At 45.2% G+C, this 12,442-nt stretch overlaps 1 long non-coding RNA gene across 2 annotated transcripts in view; it reads right to left on the bottom strand.

The window, feature by feature from the left end:
- The window catches only part of LOC112267957 (uncharacterized), a 52,113-nt gene that overhangs the window by 23,159 nt on the left and 16,512 nt on the right, over positions 1–12,442 (bottom strand). Inside the window, exon 2 of one of the 2 annotated variants that reach the window (XR_002956346.2) lies at positions 11,018–11,082. This is a non-coding gene — a long non-coding RNA (uncharacterized LOC112267957). Of the gene's footprint in view, positions 1–10,947; positions 11,083–12,442 lie in introns of those variants that run through there. The other variant, XR_007059573.1, reaches the window with a different exon arrangement.

The raw sequence follows: 12,442 nt of genomic DNA on the forward strand, positions 1-12,442 counted from the left end.
CTCTAGAGACAAGAGACCAAGCCAAAGAGCACAGACATTTTTAATCCTGTATTCTGGTCAAATCCATTGATTGACATGGCATTGGCCAAAGCAAGTCTACCATGACCAAGCCTACCGCCAGTGTGGCGGGAAAGTAGAGTCACATGACAAAGGGAGTGATGGTATAGGACGTAGAAAGTAAGAGTGAATAACTGGGACCAATGATCCATTGGAAAGTTCCACAAAACTTCCTAAGCAATTGGGTGGTATGAACCCCACCCTATGGTTGCTGGCTTCTTGTTTCTAAAGCCCTTTCACAGACAAAATCCCATTTTCATCCTCCCAACAAGTCCTCTGAAGGAGGTGTTGTGTTCCCATTTTTCAGATGAAGAAAGGTGACTCAGAGAAGCAGTGTGGCTCACCCAAGTGACATAGCTGGAAAGAGATGGAGCTGAGATTTGAACCGGAATCCTTAAGCTCCAAGCCCAGAGCTCCTTGCTCTCCCCTGCAGCTGCTTCAGAAAGATGGATCTGCTGTTGTGTGCAGGATGTGGGAGAGCCATGGGGGCCTGCTGCAGATGGCTGACAGCTGAGAGATGAAACAGCAGTCCCGGTCCTGCACGGAGGCCCAAGCTAGGCTGATGGCAGAAGGGGAGACAGAGGTCTAAGTCTTTTTTGTTGGTTTTTGCATTTGCTTCCTTTATTGAGGTGTAGTTTGTATAAAGTAAAATGCACAGATCTGAAGTGGACAGTTAGATGAGTTTTGTCAAACGTGTCTGCGTTATCAACACCCAGATGAATGTAGGGAACATTTCCATAATCCCAGAAAGGTTCCATTGTGTCCCTTCCCAGTCAGTCCTCCTTCCTCCAGGCAACCATTTTTTGGACCCCTTGTCACCACAGGTTAGTTTTGCATCTTTGGATATAAGTGGAGTCACACAATATGTTCTCTTTTTTGTCTGGCGTATTTCACTCAGCATGTCTTGGGATTCATTCACATCATTGCATGTAGCAGTAATCAGTTTATTTTTATTGTAATACCTATTCCGCTGTATGAATGTGCCATAATATTTAATCCATTTTCCTATTGGTGGACATTTGACGTTGTTTCTAGTTTCTTGGCTTCACTGACATTGTTGGTATGAATGTTCTTGTACAAGTCTTTTTCCGGACCTATGTTCTCATTCCTCTTTGGGTATATCCTTAGGAGTAGAATTGCTGGGTCATAGGTTAGGTGTGCATTCAACTTTACTAGCAAACGCCAAACAGTTTTCTTTTCTTTTCTTTTCTTTTTTTTTTTTAGACCAGGTCTCTCTCCATCATCCATGCTGGAACATAGTGGTACAATTACAGCTCACTGCAGCCTCGAACTCCTAGGCTCACATGATCTTCCTTTCTCAGCCTCCTGAGTAGCTGGGACTACAGGCATAAGTCACAATGCCTGGCTAATTTTTTGATTTTTTTGTAGAGATGGAGTCTTGCTATGTTGCCCAGGCTGCTGCCAAACAGTTTTCTAACATGATTTTACTATCTTACACATAAGCCAGCAATGGAAGAGAGTTCCAGTTTCTCTCTCTTCTTGCCAACATTTGGTAGGATCAGTCTTTTTTATTTTAGCCATGCTAGTGAGTATGAGAAGATATCTCATTGTTGAAAGGTCCATTTTCTAATCCAGTTTTCCTCTCTCCTGCTCTGGTCTGTATCTCAGGAGGCTGCCCTGGTAGGCTGCTTTTACCTGCGCTTGTTAGAGACTGGCTGCTAGCCAGGTTTAGCCAGTAGGAGGCTCTGGCAGGAGACTGGAGAGAGGGAGCAAGATAAAAGTCAGGGTAGGGTGGGTGCGGTGGTTCATGCCTGTAATCCCAGCACTTTGGGAGGTCAAGGTGAGCAGATCACTTGAGGTCAGGAGTTCAAGACCAGCTTGGCCAACACACCGAAACCCCATCTCTACTAAAAATACAAAAATTAGCCGGCATGGTGGCACACGCATGTAATCCCACTACTCGGGAGGCTGAGGCAGGAGAATTGCTTGAACTGGAGAGGTGGAGGTTGCAGTGAGCCAAGATCCTGCCACTGCACTCCAGCTTGGGGGACAGACGAGACTCTGTCTCCAAAAAAAATCCTCAAGACACTACCCAGGTAGTATCTGCAGCCACATTTCCTCCATGGCTCCAGCTCTTGGCCCCTGTGGGCCCTGCAACCTACCATGGTTGCAGCTTCCGCTGGTTGACCCCATCCTTGGGTTCCCAAAACACTGCTTTCTTCTTTTTTCTCTCTAGCCTAGGAGCGGTAGTGGCTTCTACTAAATAGCTTCACCAGTACCTCTTTGGCTTCTCAGCTCTTCCAGCACCTGTGTAACCATTTCCTGCCTCTGGGATCTTGTATTTGCTGCTCCTGTTACTAAGACTGCTCTTCCCCCGGTTATCTGCAGGGCTCTTTGGTCTTTGCACAAATGTTACCTTCTCAGTGATGCCTCCCTGCCCGGACCACCCAACTTAAAATTAACCACCCAGCACTCGTTATTTCTCTTTCCTGTTTTATTTTTCTCCATAGCAGCTATCATCTTTTTTCATACTTTCCTTTCTACATTTTACTTGTTTATACAGACATCCTGCGTTTTGTTGTGCTTCACTTTATGGTGCTTCACAGATACTACATTTTTTACAAATTGAAGGTCCGTGGCAACCCTGCATCAAGCAAGCCTATTGGTGCCACTTTCCCAACAGCATGTGCACAGTTCATGTCTGTGTGTTACATTTTAGTAATTCTTGAAATATTTCAAACTTTTTCATTTTGAGGTCAGAAGTTTGAGACCAGCCTGGGCAACATGGCGAAACCCCATCTGTACTAAAAATACAAAAATTAGCTGGGCATGGTGGTGCGTGCCTGTAATCCCAGCTATTCCAGAGGCTGAGGCAGGAGAATGACTTAGAACCTGGGAGGCGGAGGTTGCAGTGAGCCAAGATAGCGCCATTGTACTCCAGCCTGGGTGACAGAGCGAGACTCTGTCAAAAAAAAAAAAAGAGAGAGAGACAGAGTCTTGCTATGTTGCCCAGGCTGGATTCAAATTCCTGGGCTCAAGCAATGCTTCCACCTCAGCCTCTCAAGTAGCTGGGATTTGCAGGTGTCTGCCACTGCAATGGGCTTTCAAATTTTATTATTATTATTATATCTATTATAGTGATCTGTGATTAGCCATCTTTGATGTTACTACTATAATTGCTTGGGGCACCGTGTGTATTCTGACCACTCCATTCACTGCCCATTTCCCCATCTCTGTTCCTCTCCTAGGGCCTCCCTATTCCCTGAGACAAAATAATACTGAAATCAAGCCAATTAATAGCCCTTCATTAGCCAATAAGCATTCAAGTGAAAGGAAGAGTCACACATTTCTCACTTTAAATCAAAAGCTAGAAGTGATTAAACTTAGTGAAGAAGATACGTTGAAAGGCAAGATAAGCCAAAAGCTAGGCCTCTAATGCCAGTTAGTCAAGTTGTGAATGCAAAGGCAAAGTTCTTGGAGGAAATTAAAAGTGCTACTCCAGGGAACACACCAATAATAAGAAAGTGAGGCCAGGTGCGGTGGCTCACGCCTGTAATCTCAGCACTTTGGGAAGCCGAGGCGGGTGGATCACGAGGTCAGGCGTTGGATACCAGCCTGGCCAACACAGTGAAACCCCGTCTCTACTAAAAATACAAAAAAATTAAGCAGGCGTGGTGGCGCACACCTGTAATCCCGGCTACTCAGGAGGTTGAGGCAGGAGAATCGCTTGAACCCGGGAGGTGGAGGTTGCAGTGAGCCAAGATTGTGCCACTGCACTCCAGCCTGGGCAACAGTGTGAGACCCTGTCTCAAAAAAAAAGAAAAAAAAAAGAAAGTGAAATAGACTTATTGCTGATACGGAGAAAGTTTGAGTGGTCTGGATGGAAGATAAAACCAGCCACAACATTCCCTTATGCCAAAGCCTAACCCAGAGCAAGAGCCTAACTCTTCAATTCTGTGAAGGCTGAGAGAGGTGAGGAAGCTGCAGAGGAAAAATCTGGGGCCGGGCGTGGAGGCTCACGCCTGTAATCCCAGCACTTTGGGAAGCAGAGGCGGGCAGATCATGAGGTCAGGAGATTGAGACCATCCTGGCTAACACAGTGAAACCCCGTCTCTACTAAAAATACAAAAAATTAGCCGGGCGTGGTGGTGGGCGCCTGTAGTCCCAGCTACTCGGGAGGCTGAGGCAGGAGAATGGCGTGAACCCCGGAAGCAGAGCTTGCAGTGAGCCGAGATCGCACCACTGCACTCCAGCCTGGGCAACAGAGCAAGACTCCATCTCAAAAACAAAAAAAAAAAAAAAAAGAAGAAGAAGAAGAAAAATCTGAAGCTAGCAGAGATGGGTTCATGAGATTTAAGGAAAGAAGCCATCTCCATAACATAAAAGTGCAAGGTGAAGCAGCAAGTGCTGATGGAGAGGCTGCACCAAGTTATCCAGAAGAGCTGGCTAAGATCACTGATGAAGGTGGCTACACTAAACAACATATTTTCTTTTCTTTTTCTTTTTTTTTTTTTTTTTTTGAGATGGAGTCTCGCTCTGTCGCCCAGGCTCGAGTGCAGTGGTGCAATCTCCACTCACTGCAAGCTCTGCCTCCCAGGTTCTCCCCGTTCTCCTGCCTCAGCCTCCCCAGTAGCTGAGACTACAGGCACCCGCCACCACGCCCAGCTAATTTTTTTTTGTATTTTTTAGTAGAGACAGGGTTTCACCATGTTAGCCAGAATGGTCTCGATCTCCTGACTTCATGATCCACTCGCCTTGGCTTCCCAAAGTGCTGGGATTACAGGCGTGAGCCACGGTGCCTGGCCAACAACAGATTTTCAATGTAAATGAAACAGCCTTCTATTGTAAGAAGATGACATCTAGGACTTTCACAGCTGGAGAGGAGAAGTCAATGCCAGGCTTCAAAGCCTCAAGGGACAGGATGACTCTCTTGTTAGGGGCTAATGACTTTAAGTTGAAGCCAATGCTGAATTATATTCTGAAAATCCTGGGTCCTTTAAGAATTATGCTAAATCTACTCTGCCTATGTTCTATAAGTGGAACAACAAATCCTGGATGATAGCACATCTGTTTACAGCATACTTTACTGAGTTTTTTGAACCCACGATTGAGACCTACTGCTCAGAAGAAAAGATTCCTTTCAAAATATTACTGGTCACTGACAACGCACCTAGCCACCCAAGAGCCCTGATGGAGGTGTACAAGGTGATGGATGTTGTTTTTGTGCCTGCTAACACAATGACCATTCTCCAGTCCACGGACCAAGGAATAATTTTGACTTTCAAGTCTTATTATTTAAGTCTTATTTTGCAAGGACATACATTTTGTAAAGACATACATTTTGTGATCCACCCACCTCAGCCTCCCAAAGTGCTGGAGTTACAGGCATGAGAAAAAAAAAAAAAAAAAGGACATACATTTTGTAAGGCTATCACTGCTATAGACTGTGATTTCTCTGATGGATCTGGGCAAAGTAAATTGAAAACCTACTGGAAAAGATTCACCATTCTAGGCCCAGCACAGTGGCTCATGCCTGTAATCCCAGCACTTTGGGAGGCCAAGGCGGGCAGATCATGAGGTCAGGAGATCAAGACCATCCTGGCTAACATGGTGAAACCCTGTCTCTACTAAAAATACAAAAAATTAGCCAGGCGTGGTGGCGGGTGCCTGTAGTCCCAGCTACTCAGGAGGCTGAGGCAGGAGAATGACATGAACCCGGGAGGTGGAGCTTGCAGTGAGCCGAGATCACGCCACTGCACTCCAGTCTGGGCGACAGAGCAAGACTCCATCCCAGAAAAAAAGAAAGAAAGAAAAAGAAAAGATTCACCATTCTAGATGCTATTAAGAACATTCATGATCATGAGAGGAGGTCAAAATATCAACATTAACAGGAGTTTGGAAGAAATTGATTCCAACTCTCACGAATGACTTTGAGGGGTTCAAGACTTCAGTGAGGAAGTAGCTGCAGATGTGGTGCAAATAGCAAGAGAACTAGAATCAGAAGTGAATCTCATAACAAAATTTTAGTGTGTGAGGAATTGCTTTTATGGATGAGCAAAGGAAGTGGTTTCTTGAGAATCTACTCTGGTGAAGATGCTGTGAGCACTATTTAAATGACAACAAAGGATTTTGAATATTACATAAACTTAGTTGATAAAGCAGCAGCAAAATTTGAGAGGATTCACTCTAATTTTGAAAGAAGTTCTACTGTAGTAAAATGGTATCAAACAACATTGCATACTAGAGAAATATTTTATGAAAGGAAGAGTTCATCAATTACGCAAACTTCATTGTCATATTTTAAGACATTGTCACAGCCACCCCAACCTTCAGCAACCGCCACCCTGATCAGTCAACGGCCATCAACACTAAAGCAAGACCCTCCACTAGCAAAAACATTACAACTCACTGAAGGCTTAAATGATCATTAACATTTTTAACAATATTTTAAAATTAAAGCAGCTACATTTTTTTAGACATAATGCTATTGCACACTCAATAGATTACAGTACAGTGTATACATAATTTCTATATGCAATAGGAAACTAAAAAATTCATGTGACTTGCTTTATTGTAATATTTGCTTTACTTTGGTGGCCTGGAACTGAGCCTGCAACATCTTTGAGGTATGCCTGTATTCTAATTGCCTCTCTACCCCGACCAGAATGTTAGATTCATGAGGGTGGGATTTGTTGTCCATTTGGTTCATTGTTGTATCATCAGTGACCAGTGGCCAATATAGAGTAGGCAATTGAACATTTTTTGAGTGAATAAATATGGGCAGAGTATGAAAGCAGGCAGTCCCAAGGTTCTGAATTGGAATCCTTGAGTTAGGACTCCATGGGCATCTTTAAGTCCCATCACAGGAGTTCAGTGGGTGAAAGAGTCCCAGCTGAAAGATGGAGAAGGTGCTTCATCCCTCTGTCCCTGCTTTTCTCATCTGCCAGGCCACTTCCCCGGGAGAGGTGGGCCAAGCACACTTTGGGACCTCCCATGTTGAGCTCAGCTCTGGCCCCTACTCAGAGGCCCAGAGGGCTGCTCTTGAATTCAGCTGTCAAAGGACACATTTGGACACAAAAGCCCTTCTTGATTAAAGTAGGGCTTTCGTTGGGAGTGGATGGGGTCAGAGGTCAAGATGGTGCCAAGCTGTATTTTTTAAATGAATCTTGACCCCTACCTCACGGCATACACAAAAATCAACTCCAGATGGATTGTAGATCCAAATGGAAACAATACGACAATAAAGTTTCTAGAAGAAACATAAGATATCTTCATGACTTTAAGGTTGGCAAAGTATTCTTAAAAAGAGAACACAAAAAGCACTTAGCCATGAAGGATAAATTGATACACTGGCCAACATTACAATTAAGATGTTATGCTCATCAAAAGACACTTTGAAGGGAGTGAAAAGACAAGTTGCAGGATGAGAAAATATATATGTAAAATATATATTCACCAAAAGATGCACATCCAGGAGATAGAAATTAAAATACAGATATATAGATATAGATAGAACTCTTGAAAATCAATAAGAAAAAGAAAACCAGTCCAGCACAGTGCCTCATGCCTGTAATTCTAGCAATTTGGGAGGCCGAGGCAGGAGGATCACTTGAGGCCAGGAGTTCGAGGCTGCAATGAGCTATGATTGCGCCACTGCACTCCAGCCTGGGTGACAGAGCAAGTTCCTATCTCTAACAAACCAACCAACAAACAAATCGATAATAATACATGTTTTTTTAAAAAGCAAGAAAAAAAATAAAAAATTGGCAAAAAAATTGAATGAGCATTCACAAAAAAGGACACTCAAATATCTAATACACAAGAGAAAATGGATTTCATTTCATTAGTCATTAGAGAAATACAAAAATTAAACTCACAATGCAATACCACCATTCATCCAGCAAAGTGGTTAAAATAATAAGACAGAGAATACCAAGTGTTGATGAGGATGTGGAGCAAATGGAACTCTGATGTATTGCTGGTGAGAGTATATATTGGTTCAACAACTATTGAGAACTGTTTGGCATTACCTACTAAAACTGAACACATGCATTCTTTATGACCCAGAAATTCTATTCATCAGCAAATTTTCATAGCAGCACTATATATAATAGCAAAAATCGGGAAAAGCTCAACAGTAGAATGCAGAAATAGATTGAGGTAAATTCAGACAGTGGAACACTAGAAAGTAATGAGAAAGAATGTACTATTTCTCCATGCAACAATGTAAGTGAATCTTACAAACATAATATTGAGCAAAGAAAGCCAGACACAAAAAGTTTACATATTAGGAAACCAGGTGGGTGGTATGTGCCTGTAATCCCATCTATTCGGGAGGCTGAGGCAGGAGGATCACGAGCCCAGGAGTTCAAGACAAGCCTGGGCAACATAGTGAGACCCTGTCTCTTAAAAAAAAAAAAAACTTGTTTTAATTTTTAAAAAGCTTACATACTATATCATTCCATTTATATGAAGTTCAAAAACAGGCAAAATAAATCTATTGCATTAGAAGCTAGTATAGGCCAGGAGTGGTGGCTCACCCCTGTAATCCCAACATTTTGGGAGGCCAAGGTGGAAGGATCCCTTGAGCCCAGGAGTTCAAGACCAGCCTAGGCAACACAAGGAGACCCGGTCTCTATTAAAAATGAAAATAAAATAAAATAAAATAAAACAAAATAAAGAAGTTAGTATAATGGCTACTTTGGGGGAGGAGTAGGTGAACAGGTACTGGCAGGAGACGTGAGGTCATATTCCAAGGTGCTAATAAATGTTCTTTTTCTTCATCTGAATGTTGCTTACATGGGTGTGTTCACTTAGTGAAAATTCATCAAGCTGTGCACTTACAATTTATGTTCATGTCTATACATATATTCTACATCAATAAGAATACTATTTTTAAAAGCAGTGTTATTAGGCTTGGAGGCAAACTGGAGCAATAGAAGCAAGTGACTCGGAGTGGGCAGATGGCCCAGGGTAGAGAGACTGGGGGTGGACTTCCGAGCTTGTCTCTCCTGTAAAGCCTGGTCCTTTCTCCTCTGGCATTGCAGCTTCCCTTTGGGTCCTGGGACTGAGTTGCCAGCACCTCTATGGCAAATACAAGGAGGGCAGGCAAGGAACCGGGCATGAAGGCAGAAGCCCTGGAATGAAGCCCCAGCTCTGCCACTGACCCCAAACTCACATGACCTTTCTGAAGCTCAGTAAAATAAAGGGAGACTGCACTGGTTGGTTGCAGGGATATCGCTCCAACAGCACAGGCAAAGGAGCCACGCTAGCTGGTGAGGGCTGCGTAAAAGGGGCTGAAGGGGAGTCACAGCACGTGAGCATTTACTCAACAGCATCCAAACAGCAGAAAACGAGAGAGACACTATTAAACCCGGTGATAAGAGTGTGCACCCAGTGAGCTGGCTATGGGGACATCATTTGGCGTCTATCTGCCCTTCACTGTCATCCCAACAAGACTTGAACATGATTCTCAGTTTCAACAAGGCAGTCCCCTATACAAAGCCAGATGCTTTGTCCGATCTTAGCAGCAGACATCCCAGTCTATTCCAGGATGAAGAAAACACTGGCAAGGCCACAAAAGTAGGACAGCGAAGCTTCCAGAAAACCTCTGAGTAGGTGCAGCTTGTTTTCCACATAGCTGCGCCCCACCTCCCTGCCCCCTTCCCCACCCCAACATTGCCTGGTCTGCAAAATCAGTGTCCCTTCCCGCCCTCCAGCCTGGAGTGCCGTCTGTCACCTCCTTCCAGTGAACCTGAGCACTCATTTCCCCCAGATCACATTCCCAGGCTTGGTCCCCTCCATCTTAGGGACTCTGTTCTGCCTCCCCCTCAACCCCTGAGCTCATCTCCATCATAGATTTTCTCACTGACTGCCATGGTATGTTTCCCTCTCTAGACAGGGGTTTCTGGGGAGCAGGTTCTGTATCTCATTCACCTTTTTGTCTTTGGCACTCAGCACATAGGAAGTGATCAGTAAATATTTCCTGAAGAATTGAAGGGAGGAACATTCCCCTAACTAGAGTCAAATTGTAAGGGATCTGCTTAACTCATTCACGTGAAGATGAAAAGCTATTGAATTCCAGGGATAGCTAAATAAGGGATAAATACATTCACCTAAAGGACTGATAGTGACATTGATCAGAGACTGATGAGGGGAAATATATTTCACTGGGATCCCTCACAGTGATGCTGCATTGTCTGTGCAGGAGGCCAGTCCTGCACGTCTGTCATCATATCTTCAACACCATCGCCAATGGCAGACCAGACACAGTGACAGGTGTGTTGTCTTGTTTAATCCTGACAACGCCCCTGTGAGGTGACTACTTTCATCATCCTCATTTTACAGATAAGGAAGCTGAAGCACAGAAAGGTTAAGTAACTTGTCCAGGACCACTGCCTAGCAGAGCAGGAACTCAAACTGGGCTGGCTGACTCCTACACCCATATGCGAATCATGCAGCTCAGTGCCTTTCTATGACCCCTCAGAACCATGATCTTCAGGGTGACTTATAAAATCAAGGTGTCCGCCTGCTTAGAGGCTTGGATTTGAAGGTGAACTCACCCAAGATAACAGCAAAACATATACAAAGGCTGAGGGAGGCAGGAGAGAGCAAGCAGCAGCCGTGTGTGTCTGTGTGTGTGTGTGTGTGTGTGCACGCACATGCACCCATGTACATACACATGTGTGCATATGTGCCAGTGCTTATATTTGCATGCCAGGAGGTGGATGGGGTGTGCGTGCATGTATGCGGGAGTATATGAGCAAGTGCATGTGTGTGCTGGGGCCAAGGGGAGGGGTTTGACAATTAGGAAAAGGTAATCGGGGTCGACACATAGTAAATATTTGTAGAATTGAATTGAAATGCTAAAGAGAGCACTTTACAAATGTGAGGTGTTGTTATTACTATTACCTCCAAATCACAGGCCTTAGGAAAAGAGAAGAGAGAGTTGGTGACAGTTAGTTGGCCTCTTTTCATCTGCAGACTGCATTGCACTGACCTCTTTACATGGCCTCTCTCTGGATCACTTTCCTCCTGAGCTGGCTGAAGCAGGGCTCCTGCAACCTGTAAGGATGGCAGTGACAGTGACAGTAGGAACTAACATGCAAGGAGCCCACCATATGGGCTGGTTCTGTGCTAAGTGCTCTGCACGTCTGCTGTTCATTACAAAGCCACCAATGAGGTGGGGACCTTTGGTATTCCCCAAGTGCAGAGGGGGAAAACGAGATTCAGAGGGGTTGACTGAGAGAACATGTACACGAGTACTGAGAACTCCTAGAGGACCAGGCTGTGTCTTTTCCACCACACTATCCTGAGTCCTCCTGCACAATGCTAGCACATAGCAGGTTAATAGGTGGTCGGGGCCATGCAATGGACTGAAAATTGCAAAGCAATACTCTCTAGAGCCAGTCAGCCCTGAGCAGGACACTTCATCTCCCTATACCTCCATTTCCTCTGGTAAAAGTGGGGGTGAATAATTGTCACATCAGAGGGGTGCTGTCATGAGAGAATGTATGTAAAATGCCCAGTCCATTGTGAGTGCCCAAATACGTTAGCCATTACTATAAATGTGCTGCAGTTTTACTTGAACATAATATTCCCTCCTTCTCTCACAAAGTAGTGAAATTAGACTCAGAGAGTTGGTGCAAGTTAAGGGATTATCCAGTCCAACTCCCTCAGATAGCAGCTAAAAAAAAAACATGAAGCCCAAAGAACAAGCCTCATCAGTGGCAGAGCCTGGGTTGCACACAGATTTTCTTCTCCTGGGCAGGGCCTCTCCACCTGCCCAGAGTGCCTCTGATGGGGCCTTGACTGCTCTCGTAGAGCTGGCCTAAAGGTGCAGAAGGGCACGGGAGAGGTGGGGAGGGCACCAACCCAAAGCCCCAGTCTCTAGATGTGGGTGGCATTAAGGCCTGGGGGGGAGAGCAGCTGACACATACCCCACTGTAAACACCTGGCAAGGAGGCCAGAGAATGGGGCCCTCTTGAGGGGGCACCGGCTGGCCAGGGATTATGGGAGACAGCATGGCTCCTGAAGGCCCAGAGTCCCTCAGCGCTCCCAGGCTCATGGGGAAGAGCCCCTTCTTCTCCCGGCTCTCCTGTGCCCACACCAGTGATGGCCAGTCCCACAGTCTTCAAAAATGTGAGAGCCAACCCATCAGGACACACAGACAGCTCTTGGGCCCTGGGCTGGCCCCAAGCCTCTCCCCTGCCCCTGCAGCCTCTCCAAGGCCCTGGCCCCTCCTCAGTCTCCTTCTGGCTGCCATGCAACCAGGAGCCCACAAAACACCCACGTCAACTTGCCTCCTCCCCGGAGGCCGAAGGCCTTAAAATTTAATAGTCTCTCAAATGCTGTAACGCCAGAGGGGGCTTTTATGGACTCAACAGGGATAATATTATGAAGGGTGTTAGCCGCCTAAAGTGGG

The sequence above is a fragment of the Homo sapiens genome, chromosome 6, assembly GCF_000001405.40.
Source record: "Homo sapiens chromosome 6, GRCh38.p14 Primary Assembly".
NCBI lineage: Eukaryota > Metazoa > Chordata > Mammalia > Primates > Hominidae > Homo > Homo sapiens.